Raw genomic sequence first — 26,450 nt, forward strand, 5'->3', positions numbered from 1 at the left:
CAATTAGCGAGACTATACATATTTATTGAGCACTTATTTTTTACTAGCTAGTAAGCCACTAGTTATAACTTTGTGCAGCCAAAAAATTATTGAATATAATTTGAATAGGGAACATAGAGATAAAAAATTATAAAAAGGCGAATAATCAATAATGCAAAACATCGTGAGTAAATTTGAAAACTCTGGTGTCAAATTTGTGTTTACGATAAAAATTTTAAATTTTTTATTTCATATATGATTGTTCTTGCCTCATATCCCGGGCACATGGGAGTTTATTTCGTTGACTCCCAGACGTAACCAATTGAGAATAAGCTTAGTTACAAAGGAAGTAATTGAGGCTTTGAGCTCTTGAAGCTAACAGATGGAAATACGTATGTAAAAACCTAAGTGCTGTGTAAACTCGGCACATATGGACGTAGGTATTATTATTATCCAAATGGCACTACTGGGTATTTTCTTAATAGATTCTTTTAAAATGCTTTTTTATAGTTGTGGGCCTTTTTTAGACGAATAGTTCTTAAGAAGAGGAGGGGATTTTGTCCCTCAGCGACATTTGGCTAAATCTAGAGACATTTTTTATTTTCACAGCTGGGTGGCGAGTGCGGAGTGGGTACTGCTACTGGCATCTGGTGGGTAGAGGCCACGGACACTGCTTAACATTCTACAGTGCACAGGAGAGGTCCCTACAACAGAGAAATATTCTCCCGAAAGTTTCAGTAGTGCTAAGTTTGAGTAATTCTGCTCTTCACCATCAAGTTTCCTTCTCTTGGAGCCTGCTACCAGCCAATGACATCAGGATCTAACCTGAGACGAACCTAGGTGTTCTATACGGCAGCCTGGTGTACTGAAGAGTGCCTAAGGTTTGCAAGCTCGCTAGCTGTGGCTCCCCCTCTCGCTAGCTTGAGCTAGTTATTTAAACCCTTAGAGATGCCTTTCTTTAAATTAAAAAAAAAATAAATAAATCTGCACAATATGAATCATACCTACCTCATAAGGTTGCGGTGAACACTGAATGAAGTACATATATACATATTCAGTACAAGTTCGTTCCTTTATTATTTCCAGCCTACCCATCCCTCCCCCCTCCCATTCCCGCCTTTTCCCCCTCCCGGTACTGTATCTCCCACCCCAAGTCTCAGGTTCTCTTTTAAAATGCTTTAATTCCTTTGGTGGCAAAAATCAGGCTTGGGCTAGGAAGTGAGTCACCACTCAGCAGCGAAAGGAGCTTGTTTTTCTTTCTCTGAATGCATTTCTTAGTAATTTCAGACTGATCCTTTAGCCACTTGTTGGTTGAATCCTCTCTTAATGTTTAAGACACACTGAGAAAGAACTGTGGCACCAAGACGTTTTCCGATTGTTAGGAATGAGAGTGTTTTAAATACCGAAAATAACCAGAGGGCAGAGAGCTCTGAAATCCTACGTTACATAAGCAGATGCTGGAAGACCCAGGCTGGTTCTGAGGTTCCTGTCTCCACAAGCAAGTCCACGCGAATCCTCCCCGTTGCTGGATTTACTTTAATGCTGCCGAAGTCTCAAAAGGGGCCTCTGGATGCTCAGAGGACAGGCAGCGCAGGAACTTCCTTGTCAAATAAGCCTTGCCTGGAGGGAGAGGGATGGGGCGATTTTCACCCGCGGGCGGTGGGACGGGGCTGAGGGCTGGGGGCTGCCTGGCTCCAGGCCATGTCAGTGCCTCCAGCTCCAGGTCCGGGTCCACCCTGAACTTTGGCTCTGCTGCCCGGACGCCCAGCTTCACCTCCCTTGCCTCGCTTAGAAACCCTTCAGTTCTCCCGGACCGCTATGTAGCTTTTCAAATTCCCAAATTCACAGAAAACACCTTCAAAAGTCACAATCACCCACAACTCCCTCTGCCAAAAAATGTCATGCAAAAACGGAAAATACTCCGATTCCCCTTTCCTCCCAGACACTCTCTCTCTCTCTGTCTCTGCTATTCATTTTCTCCCCCACCTTTCCCCATCTGTGGTCAAGATCCCTTTCACTATTTCTAGTTCCCTCTCTTTTTTCCCTTCTCCCTCTCTCTCCCTTTTCCACTCCTTCCTCCGTTGTGACCGCGCTCCCCCTCCCCCCGCCCCGTCGTCTCTCCTCCGCCTTGCGGGCTCCAGTCTCTGCCCGCCCCTCCCCAGAGAAGAGTGTCCAGCTCCTCCAGAGGCTGCCCGCCCGCCGCTCCTTCCCTGCCCACCTACTATGAGGAGCAGCTCCTCCCACCTGCCCATAAAAGCCAAGTGCATGTTACCAGCAGCGGATCACAGCCCTTCCCCGATCCTCTCCGTGGGAGCCAGCGAGCCTCTCTCCCTGATCTTACGTGCTCAAGGTAAGACAGCACTTCTGCAGGCAGCTCACCTACCAGGGGTTGCTATGGGGGAATAAGTCACCCTCTGGCCAACGCGTTTGCTGTTTGGTTAGAGCTGATTCTTACGGATGCGCGATCCGCTGCTCCTTTAACTAGCAACTGGTTTGAAAACAAACTTCTGTTTGAATGGTAAAATAAAAGCTCCTTCAGGGAAGAAACAGCAGCATAAATATTGCGAAACCTTTCTCTTTTTAAATCACTTTTTCTCCTGTTGCTGACTGTTGCTTAGGTTAAAATGTATCTGTTTGGGGTGTTGTACTGACGTTTTTCACTGTACATATTTCACACATCAGTGGGGGCAAGGAAAACGTTGTCCCATTGTCAAAAATGTACTTTAAAAGAACACAGTTAACTTCCTAAAAATAGCACAGTCAAAAGGTCTGCTAACAATTTTGTGATGTTTTCCAAACCCCCAAGACAGCTTCTGTGAGTCCTTTAAAAAAATATCTTTCCAGGTTTTAGCGCTTGGAAAAAAATGATGTGAACGGGTGCCCTTTGCACGGGGACAGTAAGTAATCAGGTGGCTGGTAGATAGGAAGGAACAAATCCAAATTCACAAGCCAGGGTAGAATGTGCTCTCTCACCAGGCTATCTTTTCACGACATCCTAAAATGAGAATTACGATGGAACTAAGAAAGTGTATAAAAGAACTTCATGAATTTCTGTACACACACCTAAACATAAAGTGTTTCAATATGTTTCACAGTAAGAGAATAATACAGGCCAGATTATACAATACTTCTGTGCACACCAGATGGTTGTAAAGAAAGATCAGCGAGAAAGGCTTTGGAAGTTTTAATCCTTCTTTCCACCTTTTTTCCCCCGCATTTAGTAAATCACAACCTACCTGACTGGCATCCAATTATCAGAGATATTCAGTGTTTAAGCTACCCTCTTTAAAAGAAAATGATCTCTTCTTATTCCTAAGGTAGAATAAATGTGCACCTGTGAAAGGAAAAACATACTCCACAGCCACTTCTGTAAAACCAGACACTTGGTCCATGAAGTTTGCCATCAAATTCTGTGGGTTGTGTGGGATGAAACTCTCTCAAGTGGGAGAAAAACCCTCTTCAAATGTTTCCTCTGGGGAATTGCTCAAGACCACTTAGAGAAGGCAAACCAAAAGTACCAGTCAGGAAACCAAACCACTCTTTTAGCCCTTAAGGTTCTTAAAGTAAGAAGAGAAATGTTTCACTTTTTTATTTTTTTGTTTGTTTATATTATCTCATGTGGAAAGAAAAAACTCACCGAAGCTGTATGAAATTCTCCCCTATTAAAGAAACAAGACTCATTAGAAATTTAACTTAGGTCTTCCAAACCATTTCTCCTTAGCTTTTGCATATCAAAAGTAATAAAAATATTTAAAAGTTCTGCTTGAGATGGAGAGGATTCAATGCTGTTACTCAAATGCAAGAGTTATATATAAAGCTTCTGTCACGTTAAATTTTTCTTCATTGGAAAAAAATATTGCAAGAAGTGCAGTTTCCTTTAAGCAAATTATATAAAATTACTATTGGCCAAGATAGTATGTGACCTGAGCATATTAACATACCTTTTATCTCATGCCACAATGCAGACTGCTTGCTTTATATCTGATGCACATAGGTAATCAACCATGACAAGAGTACAGGTATGGGACAAGGCCAGACCAAGTATGTGGCACATTCAAGTTAATTCTTCTTTTATGGTAGTGCCTGACTCACACCCATTATCACAAGGATGAAAATACGCTGCTTCATTCACCAGATCCCCTTGAGGGAAGTTATCTTTTCTTGGGGTGGAGGGGGAAATGCTCCCAGTTTAAATGAGCTTCCAGTTATTCCTAAGTTTGGGGATAAAAGTATTCTCCAAGGGTTTACTTCTGCTTTCTCTGGCAATTAATCCACCGGACCAGCTATGGACCGTTAAACAGTAACTGCCTTCCCTATGTCCCATCAAGTTCAAGCCCCTAAATAACTGAGTGAGATCATCTTAGATTGCTCATGATCTAAGTTTCCCAGGAGCAAAGCTATCCTTTCTCCATAGGGTACATACCAAGCAAGATGACACTGCTCTTCTTAAGCTTTTAGAAAAATCAGTGTCGAAGTTTCATGTAGTCGCCCCCAAATCTCCCCTTCTGCATGGGATGTGGATACTTCACGTGAGTCTCCTCTTTTTGCCATTATATAGCTGCCTCTTGATCAAGTCCATGACTATACCCAACCAATGCCATTGAGGCAGACTTGGGAGGACTTCTTAATGTTTCTCAGAAAAGATAAGATGAGAAGCTGCCGCTTTCACTAGAGACACAAGAAGGGAGCTCTACTGATTTTGAGGGCTTGCTGATCCTACAGAAATGTGCATTTTAGATGTTCTACTACTGTCAAAATTATAAAATGATATCCTTTTCATGATCAGAAAACATATGCCACTTTATTCCTATTTATGAAATAAAAATCAAGGAGAAGAGGATTGGGGTGAAAAGGGACTTGAAAGAGAAGCTGGAGGAATCACAGAAGTGCCCTAGGAGAAAAGCAAGATTAGGAGCTCTGTTACGAAACGCAACTTCTCCCAACCCTCATTTATGTGAACATGAGGGGATGGGGAAGAGCAAAAATCCATGTCTGCTCTTGTCTTTTTATTTGTTTGTTGTTTTTTAATCAATGAGAGTATAAGATCCATCTCTACTATGCCCTTCTTCTTAGCCCTCCTTCTTTAGCAGAAAAGAACAGCTTGGTTCTAATGATGAAAATGATTTCAGGTTTGCCCCATATTTAAAAACCCACAGTAATTTGCTAGTCATAATTCTAAAAGCTATACTATGAGTTAAAATAAAAAACTCCTTAAAACATGTTTTTAACTAACAGATGGGTCACGTCAACAAAACCAACCCTAAGTCTCCTGAAAAGTGTAATGTTGAGTGCTTATTTGTAAGTTAAAAGTTAGAAACAGCAATTTACTCCTTATCCATGGTTACTCACTTTGGTATGGAAACTTGCAGACAGATTGAGACACACCGTATTTCCTAAAACCTCTGGTCCTCCAAGTAACCCTCTGGGAGCTAGGTGTTTCTGCCTTGACCTCCTTCTCTTCAACCAGACCCCTATAAACATACATGTACATAAGTTAAAGAAGGTACAGATCTTGAAACTTGAGTGTATTCTTGTGAAAGGTGCACTGGTCTAACTATTGAGTGAAAAGAAAACCAAAAGGAGAGGAGAGGAGAATTAAGGGGAGAATGAATGCCCTTTGGAATTTAGAGAATCTTTCTTTTTAGCATTGTGTGAAAAGGATATCTCAATCCCTAAAGCATCTGGGAATACACATTTATTTAAAGAACCTGTTCAAAAGTTGTCACAAAATGCTAAGAATATAATGAAGAAGATCTTCCAGTGACCTGGCAGATATTAACAGCAGGTTACACCCCACACTACTAAATTATAGCTCTATTAAACTTCCCCTTTCTAGAGAGATAAGGAGTGAGAAGTATGAGCATTAACCACATTTCAACACAAACAGAGAAAAGCTGCTAATGAGAGATCCCTCTATCACTTTAGTAACTCCATTTGTTGTTTGAGGGAGAAGGTTCTTCATAGTTTTTCCTCAAGCAGATTTGCAGGAATGGGGTTAAAGGGAGTCACACAAGGTTAGAATGTCTACAAGCCTGAAGTCGTGTGTACTCAAATTCATGAAGCCATTGAAATTGCATCAGATCAAACTGAAGTGAATAAAACAAAAAGTGTTCACCAAAACTGATCACAGAGTAATCAATAAAAATAAAAATAATGAATTCTAACTTCTCAATGTAGGATAAGAGCAAAAGCAACAACTTTAGCTGACTATGTAAAATATGAACACACACCTGACAATTCACCTTCGGTGTCCTCTATTTATTTGGGGCTCACTTCCATCGTCCCTCCTGGACAACAAAAACTGACCCTTCTCTCCTTCAGCAAACCTTTCAGGATGTGCAGATGCAGTCATAGTCCCTCTGTGACATTTCCTTTGTTCTTTCCCTGGAAAAAATCTCTTTTTAATTCTCATAGAACAAGTTTCTAAAGAACCACTCATACTTGTGGCTTCTCTCATTACCAAAAATTTCCTCATACTTCTCTTAAATAGGATATAAATTTTCACCCTATCAAATGTAAAAGCTTCACATTTTTCTAAACTTTAATTCACATACCTAGAAGAAAGTAATTTAAAATTGCTACTTGCCTCCAACAGAATATCTGAGATGAGGTTTCAAAGCCATTTTACTTATCCAGTACTTATTATAACTTCTTGGAAATTAAAAAAACTTTAGAGAATCATAAAAGATAAATGCTGGAAAAGACCTTGGAGCTAATTGTAACTAAAAGTTAATTTTACAGGTGCAAAAGATCAGAAAGATTAATGTCTTTCCCCAGGCCACCCAGATGAGTACAGCACACCCAAGGCTGGAGTTCATACAGCCAGTTTCTCCAGCCAGTGCTTAATCTTGAATAACTGCAGTGTGGCTCCTCGTATAATGTGAATCTAAGGTGTCTTTGACTATGCTGAGCATTCCGTAGGCACTTAACATACAGGGCTCTCAGAAACCATAGCTTGGTAGAGGTTTGGACTACAGCTATACCTCTACTACCAAATGTCTAGGACACGTTGACATAAATTCTTGTGAAGAGTGAAGTCAATGGTCATCACCATCACAGGGATGGTATGTTTTTAACCAGCCCAGGATATGGTACATAGTAGCTGCTCAGTAAATCTGTGTTGAGTGGGTGAATGAATGGGGAAAAAAGCTAAGTATAAAATATCCATTTTCCTAAACTCCTTTCTTACTTGTAGAAAATATAGTCTATAAAACTACTTTCTACAAAGTAATGGATTTACAAAGTAAATTTTACTTCGTAGAAAACAGTCTATACAGACATACAGTGACTCAGGTCTCAAATGTATTGAGTTTAAGATTCTCCCTTGCTTTGGGAAATCTAGAAGAGTTCATTTTAGCCTTAGCAATGGCTAAGCCGTTTTCCTGTCTGCAATATTCTCACTAGTTCTTCCCATATTTACTTGAGTTCTAGAAACTGTATTATTTTTTACAGGAGGCTTAAGATCTAGTTCCAATATTCATTTGAGAGAACAAATGAATTAGAATGTGAGATTTACAGCGTAACTCTCCTCTTCCACCCAACAGACAAAGTGTTGCCAATTTAACCATTTTGTACCTTCCTCGGCCTCTAATGAGAGAAAGAGCAAAATACCCATAATGGATAATCAGGAAAAACATTAAGGGACACATCAGTCAGAATGTGTAGGTATGAGATTTGTTGTAACAGAGGGGCAGAGGGGAGAGGTGATCAAGGGACTAAGAGTATAGAGACAAGACAGTGAAGCTAAGAGAGTTTATTCCTCTGAAACAGAGGAGGGAGAATCTCCAAGAGTTTTGAAATGCTACAAGAGATTTTAATAGCATTGTCCAAAACCAGACCCTCTCAAATGCTTGAGAGATGACTTTCTGTTTGAGTCAGGGTTCTTTAAATACAACACTAATTGAAGCCTGGATGACACAGGTGTGAAAGCTTTATAAGTACCATATCTATTAAAACTCTTCTTATCATTTGACTGGCCCTCAAGTGGGAAAGGAACCTCATTTCACCTCCTTTTAGACTTGACTCTGACCCAGGATAATAACTCCATGGATGTCAAGTCATTGAAATGTTCTCTGCTAAAATAACAACACAATTATTGGTAACACATAAAGTCACTCCATCATAGAAAGTGACGAAGGCAGGAAAGAATATTCTTGTATTGTTTCTGTAAACAATTTACCCTGAATAAGCAGACAGATGTTAGCCCAGATGCTTCTTCACTTTCCTCTGAAGCATGCCTGACAATTATTTCCATATCTCCGAAATAGTAAGTGTGTTTCTAAAATCGATCTATTATATGTTAAATTTAACACAGTCTATGGCTAAGCATCACTGTGAAAACATTCTTTTAAGTAAGTCTTTCTTGAAGACTGTCCCTCTTAAGCTTCCAATTGATGTGTTTACATCACAGGATATTTAGGCATTGGATCATTTGATGTGCTGAGACTGAAGACAATCACTTCATGTGCTACTTTTCCAACTCTAACTAAATAGGCCTGGGTGTGGGTGTCAGCTGTCAACTTCTCTAGGAAATAACATGTATCTAGCCTATTGGGGAGCTTCTCTAGTCCCCTCTGTTAGCTAGATAAAACAGCTGCTTTTTGGAAGTCTGGGCCAATGGCCTGCATAATTGAGGCTTTGTGTTCTAAGGCAATTATGGCTAGTTTATGGCAGCAGAGGGGTTAAGTTGCAGCTGCCTTCAGTTCAGTAGGAGGATTTCAAATATTAACAGCTGACCGAAGAGCACTGTGATGGGGCAGGTGGGACGCATTTTCAAGCCAACATCCCATTTAGGATCTTCTTCCAACTAGCATGGTGTCTACACTCTGACGATAAGCCTAAACTTCATTCATAAATTCAGTGATGATTGTACATTATTGTATTTCTTTAATGATCTACTTAGCGATTGCCCAGTCTTAAAGTCCAGGAGTCATGGTGTTCATCAATGCTATCAATCCAAACAAGCGACTTCTTGTTAAATGGCAGACATAAGATTAAAGCCAAAAAGTACATGAAGGAGGGCACTAGGGGGAGCTAAGAATTTGTGAGTTAGGTAGCCAAGATTGTTGAGGTTGGAAGAATGAGGAAAGAAAGGGGATCTGTGGCAAAAATATGCTATTGGATCCACAGTTCTAGTTTAAGGACATGTCTAGTCCCTTTTCCAGCCCCCAGTTAATTACAATCCCCTGCTGCCCAAATGGAGAGGGAGGTTGTTCACCAGTAGAGGGAGCCAGGGGCTGGGTGTCTCAATAGAAACTGATCTGGTCCCAGAAGGGGCCTTTAGATTTAAGTTTTTCGGATCGAAGGCAGAGCAAAGTGTCCCTTACAACCAATGGCTAAAATGTATGCCATTGTAGTAGATCACATTGTTAGTTTTCTTTTTAAAAAAAAAAAAAAAATCCTAATTTAAGCCTCTAAGAATAAATCACCCACATTTCTGGCATTAGCAATGCCTGAAATGTCCGGGCTTGTGGAAGTTTATTTGAAAGAAAACTAAAACAATCTTAGAAAATGTTCTTTCCAAGGCTACCACCAGCCAAGACTGAATCTAAATGCTCAATTCAGTAATAAACAAAGCCTGGCAGCTGGGGGTCAGTGAGAGACAAGCACAAAGACTGAGGAAGCCTGCGGTGACTAGACCCTCCCTGTCAGTGGAGTAAGGGGAAGGGAGCTGGGAGAAAAAAAGACAGAAATGGGCCAAATAGGCTTCTCCACCCAGAGGGTCCAGAACCTGCTCCCCTAAATCTGGGTCTCTCCAGGGAGCAGCCAGGGTCTTGCCTAGACTGAAGTGAATACCTTTCTGTTGAACATTTCCATTGCACAGCTGTGTGGGGATGGCTTGTTAAGACTTGAGACACTTGCATAATTCAGAACCCTTTGGGGGATAGAGATCAATTAGGACCATAAAAAAAATCCTTGGCACACCAGAGGAGAGCTGCTTGCTTAGTAAAAATTATGACATTCACAGCAAAACAGCAATCCTCTAAGATCATTTTTTGTGTCCATAGAGATGAAGCTATGGAGTTGGTGTGCATGTGACTTGTGAATCACCAGAAAATCTTCAGTGTTTTAATTTCAAAAACACCTTGACTCTCTCTGGGGCAAGGGGCGTGTCACTGATCGTCTCTGTGCCTTAATTTATTTATCTTAAGCAGAACAATTTTTAAATAACTACCTTCTTTACCACTTAGAGACATGTGAGGTCCTGTCAAGTATTTTTCAGAAAGATACTAATTAAGCATGCATTTTACGGTTACTAATTTAGTACGGTAAATGGATTATACTTACAATAACTAGGAAGGGCTCAAAGTATTTATACAAAATCAGTCAAAATGGGATAAAATGTCAAGTAGCCACATAACCTTCCAAGATATAGCAAGAGCATTTTTGTTTCTCAGAATACAGAGGTCAATCCCACATATCTCAAAAGGCCAAACAAGATCAAGGGTAAGTGGAAAGTAAAAAAACAAATAATAATTAGAAAATGGCTTAAAGAGTCTTAAAAGGCTTATATTCTTACCAATCTGTATTTTGAGACCAGCCAAAGGGGAATTTCTCACATACAATACAGGGTTTCTGATCTAAAAACTCTATTTTAACTGGAGAAAGATAACTGTTTAATAATGACTTTTGTATAAAATCTCTGCATCCCTTGCTTCAACATTTTCCAAAGTGCATTTCAAAACACTGCTACCTGGGATTCATCAGTGTTTATACAGAAAAAAGTTCTGTGGTCAAATAAGCTTTAGAAACACTCAATGAAACAATATTAAACATTTTTATTCACTGTATGGCTTCACAGAAATTTTTATATGCTATATATATTTTCATCCTTCAAAGATGTTACAATCGAGTGTTCCTTAAACATTTGATGACATATCTACCCTGCCTGAGCGCATCTCCTGGGACTGATATTCTACGGAACAGCTTAAGAATAGTTTAAGAATCACTTCCTGCAGCATTATTTCAAGATCAGTCAGAACATGGTATTTTCAGTCTTGCTAGTTGTTAAGTAATACATACTGAATGTCACTCTAAGATATGTAGAGAGATTTCTAAAACCCAGGGGAAACAGGAACAAAAGAAGCAGATAACATGCCTTTGTTCTATGGCTCAATTCTTTATTACAATAATAGCAAGAATGCCAGAAATATTATTCAAGTCTCTCTCTCTCTCTCTCTCTCTCATATCTTCAACCTCCACTTCTACCCAAAAAATCTTTAGAACACTGGACAAATTGAAGTTGTCTCTTCCTTTCCATCCCACTCTCTGGATACTGTATAGAGAGAAGCGGCCAACAATGAGCAATAAGTTCAATAAACAAGGAGCCTAGATAATTCTTTGAACTAGCTCATCAGTCTCTGAGCTGTTAATTTCCTGCTTTATCTTTACTATCATTAACTAACCAAGATCGTTGGCCAAATATTTTCTTTGAGCATTTGCTTTCTCACCATCAATAGGGAGCTAATTTCTGTAGGAGGAACACACTGATATTCTGGTGTAATTTACTGAATGAGGAATTACTTAGTTTATCTATGACACTCAGACCTCCCACTCCATACAATTTACTATTTCTCTTAGGACATTACTCTGGGAATTATCTTTCCACTTCACAAAGTTAGTGCCTGGAGGTCAGTATCCCGTAAGTGGCACAGTTGAGCACCCTCTGCTTTCAGAAAATAAGTAGCTCATAGTCATCTAAAGGAGAAGGGAGAAATTCAAACACATCATTAATGGTTATAATAATAAAAGCTATTTGTTATCTAACAGGACCAGATATTGTGCTAGTCCCGTTATCTATATTCCCCATGTCAACCCTACAAGAAGGGTGTTATTATTCCCAATTTAACGATGAGAAAAACTAAGCCTCCACTCGTTAAGCAAATTGCCTAGGGCCACACAGCTAGGAAGAGGCAGAGCAGGTTCTTCTATCCAGGTCACAGTCCAAAGTCCATGGTCTTCCTGCCCGCCTGTGCTGCTTCTCATGATGTCTTGTCCTATCATGGAGGAAAAAAATAAAAATAAACTTCCTATGACAACGCCTCTGACTCATAAAGAAAGTGAGAGAATTCTAGTGGCTCTGTTCCTAGACACTGCTTACTGGCTCTGTTTCTTGTTTAATACAGTGATTTTAATTTCTTTTTCTTTTTTGTTTTTTTTAATCTAAAAGCATGCTGTCATTTCAGAGCCAAAAAAGTAAGGACTGTGTAATTAGAAAAGAAAAAACAAACAAACAAAAAACAAAACAAAACAAAAAACATCATTTCTCCCTAGGGTAATTTTTAAGGGCTAAAAGTTAGTCCATAAACTCTCCCCAAGTGAAGACAAGTTGCTTGGCACCAATCCGGTAAAAAGAATGACAGTCTAGCATGTCATTCTTAAGGCAATAGAAATTTCCATGATTCTATGAGAAACACTAGAGCAAAGGCACTTCGGCACATTAAATGAACTTGTATCTAGCTCCCCAGATTATTCTCTTTGGCACGACTTTTACCATAAACCGTAGCCAGATGATGACAGTAAACATGACTTAAATGTTTCCCCCAAGCCATGAGAGTCACCTAGGAAAATGTCTATGTTGTCTACACCTGCTGCTTAGCCTGCAGTGAGAGTATATATAGAAATAAATATACCTCAAGCCCTTCCTTTATCCTGTGCCAAAGACAAAAAAGGAAACAAAGCCTAGCTTTTTCCCCCATGCTCACATTCTGTTATGCTTTTTGGCTTTTGTTCTTGATCTTCCCTCTCTGCTTGTAGTATTTCTCACTTAATCTACTAGATTAATTTATACTCCTCTTCCAAGATTCAGATTAAGTAAGTATCTTCCCCTCTGTGAGAACATGCCTGAAACCAGCCTAACCCAAGCTGCCTCGTGGATCTCCTTCAGACTCCCTAGAACTCTCTGTACAAGCCCTGCCACAGTTGTCTCCATTCTATAATGGCATGAGTTTAATTTGTGTATCCACCTCCATAAAGACTGTGAGCTCCTTGCAGAAAGATTTGTGTCTTATTTACCTCTGCAACCTCAATGCTTGGCACATAATAAGGGCTTAATAAATGTGAAAAGAAAAGAAAAAAATAGAGGTAGGGGAATAAAATAAGTTGACGGTGAATAAAGATTTTAATTGTGCTACTCTCTGTCCCCATAAATTGTTCTAAAAAGGGACAATTTGGCCTAAGTTCATTCTTGAAGCCTTGATGTGATTGGGGTATATCTAGATATGGTAGAAACTCCTTTCCATTCTGAAATATTCCTTGATGAAAATGAACATCTTAGAAAGAATAAAAGTTCTGAATAAAATTTAGAATATCCTGATTTCTTTAGGACTTCATGAAATGACCAACACTACCCCAGTCTTCCGTGTGGTTTTCTGAGAGAACCAAGAACCGCGCTTCCACATTCCACATCTCCCTTTCCTCCCCATCCCATAGCATAAATATGTGCTCTCTCTTGCTCACTCTTTCTCTCTCTGTCACACACACACACACACATACACATACACAGTGTTACTAGGCTTTGACTGAACTCTGCAGCTAAACATGGGGCATAAGATGAATGCCTAATGGTATTCTAATATTAATATTGGTGCTCCATATACCAGGTTACACAAAGAAAAATTATTTCCCATGTGACCATTGTCCCAGGATTGTTAGTACCCTGCTCAAAAGGATTTAATGGCATTATGAAATGTAGAACAAACACTTTAGCTTGACAGTCGAGTCTCACAACCTATCTCACCCCAAAGCTTCTTTTCATCTTCACCTCCCTCAAGTCTATAAACAGGAATTAAATCTGATGGGCTACTACTCCCCCAAACATTCCTTTTTCCTTTCTCTACAGAAAATGTCCCCCATTCTCCTTTCAACCTGTCAGAATAACCATAATTTCAAAATCCTATTAAAGCCTTCATCAATATTATAACAAGCACTGATCCTTCCCTATTCTCAACTAACAAGCAGTTACTCTAAATGTCAGTAATATGTCACCTATGCACTGTATTGAATAAGTCAGGACTGTCTAATAGAACTTTCTGCAATGATGGAATCATTCTGCCTTCTACAGCTGAGCTCTCCAATATGATAGCCACTAGCCATGTATGGCTACTAAGGACTTTATTTTTATTTTTAATTTTTTTTTTGAGACAGAGTCTCACTCTGTAGCCCAAGCTGGAGTGCAGCGGCATGATCTTGGCTCACTGTGACCTTCACCTCCCGGGTTCAAGTTATTCTCCTGCCTCAGCCTCCCGAGTAGCTGGGACTACAGGTGCACGCCACCACACCCAGCTAATTTTTGTATTTTAATAGAGACAGGGTTTCACCATGTTGCCTAAGATAGTCTCGAACTCCTGAGCTAAGGTGCTCTCCCCACCTCGGCCTCCCAAAGTGCTAGGACTACTAAGCACTTTAAATGTGGCTAACACAAATGAGGTACTGGATTTTTTACATTTTATTTTAATCTCTTTAAATTTAAAATTAAATAACCACATGTGGCTAATGGATACTATATTGAACAAGAAACTATTTAACTTTTTATATGCTATGGTTTAGGTCCCTTGGTGAGCATATAAACTACTGAAAAAATTGAATAAGATATGCTTTTTTCTATCCCCAGTGAATGCTATGACTGCAGTAGTGTTCATTAAATGTCATGTTCAATGCATTGCCTGACTACAGGGTCTTTTGCCAAGTGTTATGTTATTTTAAAGAAGTCTTCTTCCCTATATCTGTAATTTTAATAATATTGTACAAATGGTGTTTGCCTCCTTTTTTTCCTTTATTTTAGTGGCTTAAAATCCCTCAGAATGACACCCTATCACTGCCTGGATTCTTTATCACTATATAAACAAAATGGGATGAGGAATGAAAAAGTTCCATTATTCATTACCATCTCATTTCTTTTCCCTTTGGGGAAAAAGCATGGTTTAAATACCTGCTGAGACATACAATTGCTTCAGTCTTCAATATGACCATTTCTACAGAGACAGACTATACCTGGGTATCGGAAACAAATTCAGCTCACAGATTTTTGCTTTTCTTTCCTCCTGAAACCTCACCACCTTTTAAAGAAAAGTAGTTCTTTATCATAGATTTTCCCAGAGCATTTTTGTCTCTATTTCTGTGTTCTGCAGTGGACAACCTGAAACACTGCGAAGAAGGCTAAGCTCTCCGCCAGCAGGTCAGCGGAGGTAGCATGTCTTGGAATTTGACAATGATGTGCCCCTGGCACTTGCTGGCTTACCAACAGCCCTTCAGGAATCATCATGCCAACAGGCCAACCATGCAATAAAATCCTGTACCTGGCAAAGCCATGAGCAAAGTGATCAAACATTCTGTCTGCAGATTAGATTCTAACCTATTAATAAGCCTTCAGAAAATAAGCCAGAGTGAATCTCTAACAGCAATAGTTTACAGAGATGTTTAATGATGTCAGAGGTCGGCCACCCTACGTGCTTTCCTTCTGACTCAGCACAGAGCAGGACAAGGGCAGGAGAGCCACTCCAGAAGCCAGGGCAATCAGCTGTATCTTTTCCATTCGCAGCTAAGTTTACTTGGAATGACTGGAAAAACCTTCAATGAAAACTCTTTCTAAAATAATAAAAGACTTTATCCTGCTGTCATGAGCCAGACAACATCAAGAAATAATTATGGGTGTGTATTTTCCTCTGCCTTGTAAAATGTTTACAAATTGTATCATAAGAAAGCTCTAGAGTCAATGGTAAAGATAGCAATAACATTTAACTTGTAAATTTTTTATATCTAGCCATAAAAGAATCACCATGTGTTTAAATCACATTTGAATACATATAAATAAAATTCTCATCTGCAGACATGAGCCAGTGGCTAAAGGAAGAATCCATGACTCCTTTTCCACAGAGAAAGTACACTGGAGATGTTTAGCTTCTCATATTTATGAAATAGAATTCATTGTCACCACATCAGCAAAAGAGTGTTGCAAGGATCTTAATTTGGGAACTTTGAAACATGAAAATAATCTATAATTAATGATGATAATAACCTTTGTGGAGAAACAGTTTGCTACATTTATTTTATGTACATTCCTTCATTTGAATTTGGTAGGGAGGGGTTTTATCTACAATTTACACATAAGGCAGTAGAGGCTTAGAGAGATTAAGTCAATTTCTTTATATCATTAATATCGTGAGTGTTGGGGCTGGAATATAAATCTGGATCATCCCATCCCTGAAGTCCTCTTCTTTCTACTAATCCAGGCTGAATCTTAACAAAATCACATCCAGAAATAGTTTGGAGCATCCTGGTAGCAGAAAAAAGAAAGTGCAGCAAAAGAAAGCGGACTGACCTGCAAGGTTTGCTTAGGGAAAAGTGATTGAGAATGTGCTTTTCAAGAAGAGAACCCAAACTCTCCTCAATAATATGGCAGCTAACATGTCTTGATGGGCTAGTCAGCAGGAATAGTTTTGTAGGTTATCTTCTGTATAGTTTATGATTTTAAAGGACACCCATTTTAAACCTGTCTGTAAATTTTTAAATGATAGTTTTAAATCCCCCTTTTTATTTAATGCCCAAATGTGTGTAATTTATGCAGACAAAATAAAATACCTTAAATTATCTATGGGAAGCTACTACCATGACCTGAATAAAAAGCACTGAAGTTAGCATAAGAAGCCCTGAGATGAAGTCCCACTTTTACCACTGAACAACGCAGCCATCCTGGGCAAGACAGTAAGTCTTGCCAAGTCTTTGCTTCCTCTGCTCTAAAATAAACTTACCTCTCAGGATTGATGTGAAAGTTAAATAAGATAACATGTAAGAAAGTGTCTGCTAGTCAGAAGGTGCTCAATAAAAGTTTATTTAATACTAATGAAAACCAATTATTGAATGTTTAATTAAGTGCCAGCACAGCGGTCATTTAGGTGAGCAGCAGCTTCAAGTGTCGCTGTCTACGTGTTGCAAATAAGGGCACTAAGAATCTCTGTGCCTTGTAGCTCATTTAATGAACTCTTTACTATGCCAGAGTCCTGCTGTGCATTGGTCATGGTGGCAGTGTAAACTATTTATGGGCTGATTGACATTTTTGGTCTTTTTTTTGGTTTTGGTTTGGTTTGGGTGGGGGGTTGTGTTTTGTTTAATTGTTCTTTGTTTATACCAAATGGCAACAGTTCAATCTCCCCACCAGTTCCCCTAAAAGGAAATTTTCCTGGTTGCACAATGCCTGTCCAGTTCACGGGCATCTCTCTCCCTTCACCATGTCAATGCACAGTATATATAGAGTCCACGTGTGGGTTGTGTATGTGTCTGTGTGTGTGTGGTGGGCAGCTGTGGCATCACCAGGAAAAATGTGGCTGTTCTGAGTGTCTCATCTAAGATCTTACCTCATCCCGTGAGTTTCTGGAGTTTTGTGCTGCTGTGCTCTACAACACTCTCCTTGAGGCTGCCAGCATCCTAGATGCATCCTGGCCCCTGTATTTTGATGCATCAATAAATCTCCTTAAGCCCTGTGCATATTCCCTGCCATATTTAATGTCAGTGTACCAGAGTCCTTGTATTAGTCAGGGTTCTCTAGAGGGACAGAGCTAATAGGATAGATGTATTTATGAAAGGGAGTTTATTAAGGATTACTGGCTCACATGATCACAAGGTGAAGTCCCCCAATAGGCCGTCTGCAAGCTGGGGAGCAAGGAAGCCAGTCCAAGTCCCAAAACCTCAAAAGTAGGGAGGCGGACAGTGCAGCCTTCAGTCTGTGGCCGAGGGCCTGAGAGCCCCTGGCAAACCACTGGTGTAAGTCCAAGACTCCAAAAGCTGAAGAACTTGAAGTCCAATGTTTGAGGGCAGAAAGCATCCAACACAGGAGAAAAATGAAGACCGGCAGACTCAGCAAGTCTGCTCTTTCCACCTTCTTCCGCCTGCTTTATTCTAGCCGTGCTGGCAGTTGATTAGATGGTGCCCACCCAGATTGAGGGTGGATCTGCCTTTCCCAGTCCAGTGACTCAAATGTTAATCTCCTTTGGCAACACCCTCACAGACACACCCAGGAACAATACTTGGCATCCTTCAATCCAATCGAGTTGACACTCAATATTAACTATCACAATTCTACCTTACTTGATTTCCATTTTCCTGTCAGAAATGTCCTGACTTTTTTACCTGTGTGTCTTAATTACCAAGAATCAGTCCAGGTTATCTTAAGAAAATGGCTCTAAGAAGCCCAATGTGTCTGGGAACATTGGCTCACACCTGTAATCCCAGCACTTTGGGAGATGAAGACAGGTAGATCACTTGAGCCTAGGAGTTTGAGACCAGCCCGGGCAACATGGCGAAACTCCATCTCTACAAAATGTACAAAGACTAGCCAGGTGTGGTGGTGCATGCCTGTAGTCCCAGCCACTCAAGAAGCTGAAGTGGGAGGATCACTTTAGCCCGGGAGGTGGAGGCTGCAGTGAGCTGTAATTGTGCCACTACACTCCAGCCTGGACAACAGAGTAAGACCCTGTCTCAAAAAAAAAAAGCACAATGTGAGAATAAAGGAAATTACAAGCTATAGTGGAAGATATTTTAGTTCATAAAAACAAAGGAAGAAGGACCATAAGAGGTTTTTTTTAAGACTTATCTTCTCAAGTTCTATTATCTCAGTTTTGTTTGGTTAGGACTTCCATGCCAACCTCATTTATTCATTCATTCAATAGTTATTGAGACCCACCATGTGCCAAGCCCTGTGCTAGATGCCATGAAGGATGGTTTCTACTGCACCCATAGGTTGCAGTTGAAAGGCACAGAAACCAGTAAAAAGCCACTTAGAGAACAAATGCACGGGGAATGTGAAAACCCCTTTCTTCCTTTTAGTATGGAAGAGAGGCCACTTTTTCTGCATTTCTCTGAGCCCTCCCTGGGGCAAGTGTCCTCTCACATCATACCCATCTCTACCCAGCAGAAGGCTCTCACTCAAGGACTGTCAAGGATAACTAATTCAAGACCCATCCCACCCACTAGGTGCCAAAAAGCTAGCAAGTCAGCTACCTAATAGGTGTCTTTTGAGACATTCAACACACATAGATTTAAAATATACAAAACAGGAAACTGTCTTTACATGGTAGTCTTTCAACTAAAATGGTTACAAGATCTTAAATTTGTTGCCATCAAGGTACTATACAATGAAAACTGGTGGTCCCAGGGATGACCCTGAAATACTGTGAGGTCCTGAGGCCCTGCAGCAGACAGAGGCACACAGCATTCAGTAAACGCTCATTGGGTAAACAGTATCTGACTCGCTGGAGAAAAACTAAATTATTGCAAGTTGAGTTTTAGAAGTAAAATATATTTAAAGTGATATTTCATTTATCTAAAATTCTAACTTTTGACAATTTCAACTTCATAGTACACAATTGAGGACAAAAAGTAAATCAAAAGTGCTCAGAGAATAAAAGACAATGGTCATTAAGGTTTATATTTGTAAGCAGTCATGTGGAGTCTTCACTTTGAGCCTATTTACCTTTACTTCATGAATAATGTTAACACACGTGGTTCTCTGAGTTCTCAGAACATAGCCAACTTGAAGCACTGACCTAGAAAAAGGAGAGGAGCTGCAACAAGTAAGTGCACTGACAGAAGGAAGAAAGAAAAGTATGGAGGCCTAACAAGAAAGTAAGAAAAAAAGAAGCTATACAAACACAAGAATTTAGAAAGCAAAATGGCATTCACTGTGGACACAAATAGTTGTACGATTTGAGGACATCTTTAAAAGAATCACTGAATCACAGCTAATTATAAATTTATTGACATATTTGGTAGCATCTTTTAAAAATGAAAAACATTATGTATTTTAAGTATATATCAAAAGAAGTATATTTTGATCCTTAAAGGTATAAAATATCAGCTATTGGGAAAATTTTAATTATCCAAACCGTCTCATTTCCTAAAGATTGTGGAAAGTTGAGTTTATTCTAATATGTGTGTGTCTATGCAAACACACATGCATAAATGCATATAAATTATATGAAATAGAATTCCTGTTAAGCTAGAAAACCTCATCTCCCTAACACACAGTAGAACACATTATTAACTTTTTGGTTGTCAGCTTGACATGATCAAAGTGGTTATCTAAAATCCCAAACCTTAAGTTTGTGCTTTCTTTTCATTGAATGCAACCAAGACCAGGGAAGTTACTTCACTGGTCAGTAACTCAATTTATCTATTTGTATAAGAAGAAAAAAAAAAAAAAAGCTTTCCTCACAGGGGTCTGTTGGACTTTGTTCCTATTTCAAAACTTGAAAATCCTTAATATAAATCTCAATAATAGCTCAGTTTAGGGTTATTATTTTTTAAGCAAACACCCGTCAAGGAAAAGATGCAAAGGCAGTCAGTCTTTCCCTGCTTTTCTTTCCTTACAATCTTTCTTTTCCAAAGAACACAATAAAGAAACAAAGAGCCAAACACACTGACTCACGTCTTTTTCTAATAGTGTTGTGGTCAATTTGCTCCTGCATAAAAAACTAGTAGTTAAGCTTTGAACTCTGGGTTTTGGAAGGCCAAGAGTGGAAAAATATCTTTAGCAGAAAGAACAGCACATTCCAAATCTGTCCGTTGTTATGCATTTGTGAGAAAAGTCCACTTGGGCATGCCATCCCCATTGAAGCCCTTTTGTGTTGTCAGAACTTTCTTGACAAAGAAATGGCTGAACATTGCCTTTCAGTAGAATTTCGAGTTGGTTTTTCTGTACTTTCTTTTATCAGAACTTCCTCATTCAAACCTTAAGATGGTTTCTCAGCTTGAACTTGCTTTTAGGACAAATAGGAAAATGGTATAGCTTTGTACCTAAAAAACTGACTTCATCCTTTTATGGGAGGAAAAGATCTATATGCTTCAGAAAGCCAAAGATGTACTGAGAATCTTCACTAAGGCATTTCCTACAGTAAAATTGATGATCGCATCCCAAGCTTGATCAGATGTCATGGCTTTTGTTTTCTTAGACGTTGTCACAATCTAACATAGTCATGTGACTCTAGTGTACTAAGGGCTTTCATGGGTGTTAACTCATTTATTAGACCTAGCATGCACCTGACTTCTTAATTATTTTACAGTTGTTTCTTGGTTTTGATTCTAATTTTTAAAGACACTCACAGTCTGAAAAATAATAATAGTATTGTTACATTTCTAAATGGCTAGCGGCATCTTTTAGCTGATAAGACTGAGTAGCTGGTATAGCCTACATATCACCCAGTTGAATAATTTATTTCAGTACTAAAATCTCATTACCTAAAATGCTCTCAGGAATGTTTCAAAAGTGTCTTTACTCTTTTCTCCCCGCGAGGATGAAACACCCTCAACTTAACGCATCTTAGCTTCAGGCCATCCTGTCTCTTATGCCTTCCCTCCTGATACAGTAGAGGAGCTATTTATCTTCATTCATTTTCCCTCACCTCTTCTCTAAGTGCCCCTCATCCCATGCCTCCTACCCTCTGGAGACTTTACTCTTAATTGTTTGCACCATCTGCCACACATAGTGTTCTTTCTTGGTACACACCAGATTGTGACTCACCCCTGTTTAAAACCTTTCAGAGGACCGGGCACGGTGGCTCACACCTGTAATCCCAGCACTTTGGGAGGCCAAGGCAGGCGGATCACAAGGTCAGGAGTTTGAGACAGCCTGACCAACATGGTGAAACCACGTCTCTACTAAAAATACAAAAATTAGCCGGGTGTGATGGCATGCTCTTGTAATCCCAGTTACTCAGGAGGCTGAGGCAGGAGAATCACTTGAACCCAGGAGGCGGAGGCTGCAGTGAGCCGAGATCGCACCACTGCACCCCAGAGCAAGACTCCATCTCAAAAAAACAAAAAACAAAAAAAAAAAAACACCTTTCAAAGACATTTCATAGCCTTCCACTGGAGTCCTGAAACCATCTCAGGCCTTCATCATCTGGGCCTGCCCGTCTTCTCAGCTCCATTCCTTGCTATACCATCTGCTGTCACCAGCCCCACCCTGCACTACAGTTACAGCTCTCTTTGAAATTGTCAGATCTCTTAATTTTTAGGGCTTTTATTTACAATGTTTTGTTCTCTCCGCCCAGAACACCCTGCCTTCTCATCGCCTCTTAACTCCCCAAGCATTCCCAGAAGTCTCCTTTGACCTTCTGGCCTAGATAAAGTGGCCCTGCCCTGTGCTCTCACATTGCCAGCATCCTTCTATGGCATCTAATACTCTCACTGTTTCTGTTTAACTAACTGTCTCCATGGCTAGCCTGTAAACCAAGTTACAGCCTGATTTGAGTCTGCCTTACCAACCAGTCTGTCCCCAGCACAGAGCCTGAAACCAAGTGCAGGTACTCAGTGCTGTTAATGAAAGAATGAAGGAAGGATAACAAATGATATTCAGAGAAGCAGATATCAGAGACAAACTGGCAGATACAAAGGTCAACCAAGGGTCTAGGAAAAGTGAGTGGCCAAAAGTCTAATCAAAGAAGTCAGAAAACAAGACGTCTTTAGCAACCAACAGTGCAAGGCGGGAAGAACAAATCTAAGACAGGCCCTTAGCAATAATGGTAAGCAAACTTGATAATCACATCACTCAATCAGTCCCTCTCATTCTCATTGTGGGCAAAGTTTCCCAGAGTGTTTTAAAGTGTAGTCTAAGGACTACCTGCGTCATGATTCCACATCCCCACTAGCTCTACTGAATCAGTCTCATGGGTTGAGGCCAGAAATCTGCATTTCAAGCCAGCATTCTAGGTGATTCTTACGCATCCTAAGGTCTTCAGGCTGGAACTGGAGACAAAAACAATAGCTAGTTGACTAGGAAGAACAAGACCAGAAAGCAGATGCCTTTCCCTGATGGTGGTTAGTTCAGCCCTGTGAGCCCCCAGTTGCTTCACATGTAGTATGTGACTCATGGATAAGGCCACGTTCACCCTGATTCATCTATGATGAGCTAACGCCTAGCTGGCTCGTGGTTGGACCTTAGAAGTTTCAACAAGGGTCATGTGTACGTGGAGGAGCCAGTGCTTTCACGGCACATTAGTCACAACTCCCACTTAACTTCTCACGGCTGCCTCCCCTTCCCTGTTTGTGGCATGGGCCAGTATAATCCATCTGTGCATTCTCTCTGGGCAGATGAATATTTAATCAGCAGTGAATAAAACAATATTCCCTTGTCCAGGACCTGGATAAATTGCTAATAATAATAACTATCACATCATTCTAAGGGAATACTCCTCTGAGGAAAACAATAATGTCCCGTTTAGCCCCACTGAGACTGTGGTTTTAAAGCCCTAATTTTGTATTATTGACAAAGAAAAATAAGTAGATATGGCTGGCTCACAAAAGCATCTAGAAAGTTCTATGGCAAAAAAAGAGGTTCACCTGAAATTAGTATTCCTTGTTTTGATCTTGTGTTCCAAGCAGTCTCATTTTTTCTCCTGGGTTTGGTATATCTTTTTGTCCTTTATGATCATGTCCATAATCTGCCATGCTCAAAATGAGTCCAGAATAAACACTCGATTTCTGTTTATCTGCTATTATTTATAGCTTACGGTTATCCTTTACCTTCCTCCCGAGACTCTGTTCTATTGCTGGCCATTTGAAGTCAGCGTACTGCACCTTAAATTCCCTATGAACCAGAATATATGTGATGTGGGCAGGAAAAACAATACATATTGCTTTTCCCAGAGTAGTTTGAATCAAACCTTTTAGGTGTAATTGAAAACATATTTTTACAAGCAAATAGAGCCAATAAACTAGAAAAACTGTGTGGAAGCACCAAGCCCAGCTTCTCTGGTTTTTAATAAACTGCAGTAGAGAACCTTAGGAACAGGAAGACATTTACATTCCAACCCGGAATCACGCAGGACAAGTGAGTGTGGTGCGTCACAAGTGCTCTGTACAGAAAGTTCCAGCGGGGAAAGAAGAGGAAATTCCTAAGGGCACTGTGGCTTTGCATAAGCTCTCCAAAGTCAGTGTAGGGACCTCATATGCCTTTATACAGGTGGTATGATTGAAGGGGGAAAGCATGCCTTTTTCTACTTCTGGTCCCAAGACCTGAAATCATGATTATCTTCCTATAACTATTATTTTTTAAATATAGCCATAAAAGAAATATCCTCCTGAGACAGGTCCTTTTCTCAATTGCAGTGACATAACTCCCACCAGATCAGTGGGACATCATCTCCCATCATCGTTGTTACATCCTTGCAGTCAGCCTAGCCTTTCCAGCCCCTAAAACCGGAAGTCTGTGGTGGTGCAAGGGGGCTGGCAATAGGTAGAAGGATTCTGGGCTGAGACTGAATCCTTGGCTTACACTTAATTGTTCTGGCATATGGGCTTCTCCTATAATTTCTCTAGCTATGAATTGGGGTGGACTTATTTACACATTTATAAAATGGCACCATTCATTAATCATTAAAGTAAATCACCTGAGGTATAAGAACTAATTAGAAAGCTTAAAATAGAAATAAAGTAAGAGCTTTTTACCCTAGGGCTGGGGGCAGAACCAATTTCTAAATTATAGGTTTTTACTTTATGTACATGTTAAACTCCAGGGAACATGATCTGGCCCAAATTTGTTTAATAGCTAACCATAATGTCACAGGCTTTTACTGTTTGAAAAACAGAGTGGCATGTATAAAAACATCATTTTCAATGTCTATGTCAATTTTTAAAATACACCTCATGCAGTGCTGGAAAGGGAATGGAAATGGGGTAATGATCATATACTGTTGGTAAGAGGCTAAATTGGCATGGGTGTTAGACGGTGAATTAGTAATTCCACCCTAAGAAGCTATCCTTCTCACATGTAAGATAAACGTGCAAAGATGAATATGTATGTCTTAGGATATAAAAATAATGGTGTTCATCAAAGGATACAATCCACAGAATAACAAGACAGATGATAGAATTGGAGAAAATTCTTACAAAACATATATTTGATAAAGAGTTAATATCCAGAATATTTTTTAAAAACTCCTACAACTCAACAACAACAACAAAAAGAAACACAATTCAAAACGAACAAAAGACTTAAATAGATATTTCTCCAAAGAAGATATACAAATGGTCAACAAGCACATGAAAATATGTTCAACTTCACTAATCATTAGGGAAAATGTAAATCAAAACTGCCATGAGATGTCTACCTCACACCGACTAGGATGACTAGTATCAAAACAAAAAACAAAAACCAGAAAATGACAATTTTTAGTGAGGATATGGAGAAATTGAAAACTTGTGCACTGTTGATGAGAATATAAAATGGTACAGCTGCTACGAAAGACATTATGGCAGCTCCTTAAAAAAATAAAAATAGAATTAGCATATTATCCAGCAATTTCATTTCTGGTTATATGCTCCAAAGAACTGAAAGCGAGGTCTCCAAGAGATATTTTTACAATCCATGTTCATGGCAGGATTATTCACAGTAGCCAAAAGGTAGAAGCAATGCAAATATTCACTGATGGATGAATGGATAAACAAAATGTGGCATATATATTGTATTAAATATTATTCAACCGAAGAAAGGAAGAAAATTGTAACACGTGCTACAACAGCTTGAGGACATTATGCAAAGTGAAATAGGCCAGTCACAAAATGACAAATACTGTATGATTCCATTTATTTGAGATACCTAGAGTAGTCAAATTTATGGATAGAGAAAGTAGAATGATGTGCCAGGGGATGAGGGAAGGAGGAAATGGGGAGTTATTTTTAAATGGGCATAGAGTTTTAATTTTGGAAGATGAAGAGTTCTGGAGCTTGGTTGCACAGCTATATTAATATATTTATCACCATTGAACTGTACACTTAAAAATGGTTAATATGGGCCGAGCACGGTGGCACGTGCCTATAATCCCAGCACTCTGGGAGGCCAAGGTGGGCAGATCACTTGAGGTCAGGAGTGTGAGACCAGCCTGGCCAACATGGTGAAACCCCATGGCTACAAAAATTATTTTAAAAATTAGCCAGGCGTGGTGGTGAGTGCCTATAATCCCAGCTACTGGGGAGGCGGAGGCAGGAGAATCGCTTGAACCCAGGAGACGGAGGTTGCCCTGAGCCGACATCACGCCACTGCACTCCAGCCTGGGCGACAGGGCGAGACTTTGTCTCAAAAAAAAAAAAAAAATACAATAATGTTGTTAATTACAGTAATAGTGAAAAGATAGAGAAAACATGCAAGTCTTTCAAATGAGAAATAGCCATTGTGTAGAATCCCATGCAGTCACTGAAAAGATGCTGTACATATGCATGTATGAACTTGGAAGGATATATTTGATCTATCTTTTGACTTGAAAAGCAATTTTCATAACAATGTACTTATAATGACTATCAGATTACTAAGGCTAGCACGACAAAATGCAACAAACTGGGTGACTTGCAACAGTTCTGGAGGCCAGAAGTTCAAGACCAATAGGCCGGAAGGGTTAGTTTCTGTGGAGGGCTGAGAGAAAATATCTGTTCCATGCCTCCACTAGCTTCTGATGGTTTGCTGGCAATCTTTAGTGCTCTGTGGC

The 26,450-nt window shown here is 39.8% G+C and overlaps 1 protein-coding gene and 1 long non-coding RNA gene across 3 annotated transcripts in view, besides 1 other annotated feature; one reads left to right on the forward strand and one right to left on the reverse strand.

Moving 5' to 3' along the window:
- Positions 1 to 1,032: 1,032 nt before the first annotated feature.
- On the reverse strand, positions 1,033 to 2,345 carry LOC124909401 (uncharacterized). The gene is made up of 2 exons (XR_007095981.1): positions 2,252 to 2,345; positions 1,033 to 1,599 (listed from the first exon to the last, which is right to left on the reverse strand). It is a non-coding gene; the product is annotated as an uncharacterized LOC124909401 (long non-coding RNA).
- Positions 2,259 to 26,450, forward strand: part of COL8A1 (collagen type VIII alpha 1 chain) — a 160,624-nt gene continuing 136,432 nt past the window's right edge. For both annotated transcript variants that reach the window (NM_001850.5, NM_020351.4), the window contains exon 1: positions 2,259 to 2,329. The gene's annotated coding sequence lies outside the window, so the exon portion shown is untranslated. The remainder of the gene's footprint in view (positions 2,330 to 26,450) is intronic.
- Positions 22,158 to 23,357: an enhancer, noted in NCBI's record as "CDK7 strongly-dependent group 2 enhancer chr3:99377337-99378536 (GRCh37/hg19 assembly coordinates)". NCBI's record gives its function as "activates an origin of replication core promoter dependent on BRD2, BRD4, P300/CBP, MED14 and CDK7 cofactors, with strong dependence on CDK7, by STARR-seq in HCT116 cells {active_cell/tissue: HCT116}" and the evidence as "EXISTENCE:reporter gene assay evidence [ECO:0000049][PMID:35650434]".

Source organism: Homo sapiens, chromosome 3 (assembly GCF_000001405.40).
Source record: "Homo sapiens chromosome 3, GRCh38.p14 Primary Assembly".
NCBI lineage: Eukaryota > Metazoa > Chordata > Mammalia > Primates > Hominidae > Homo > Homo sapiens.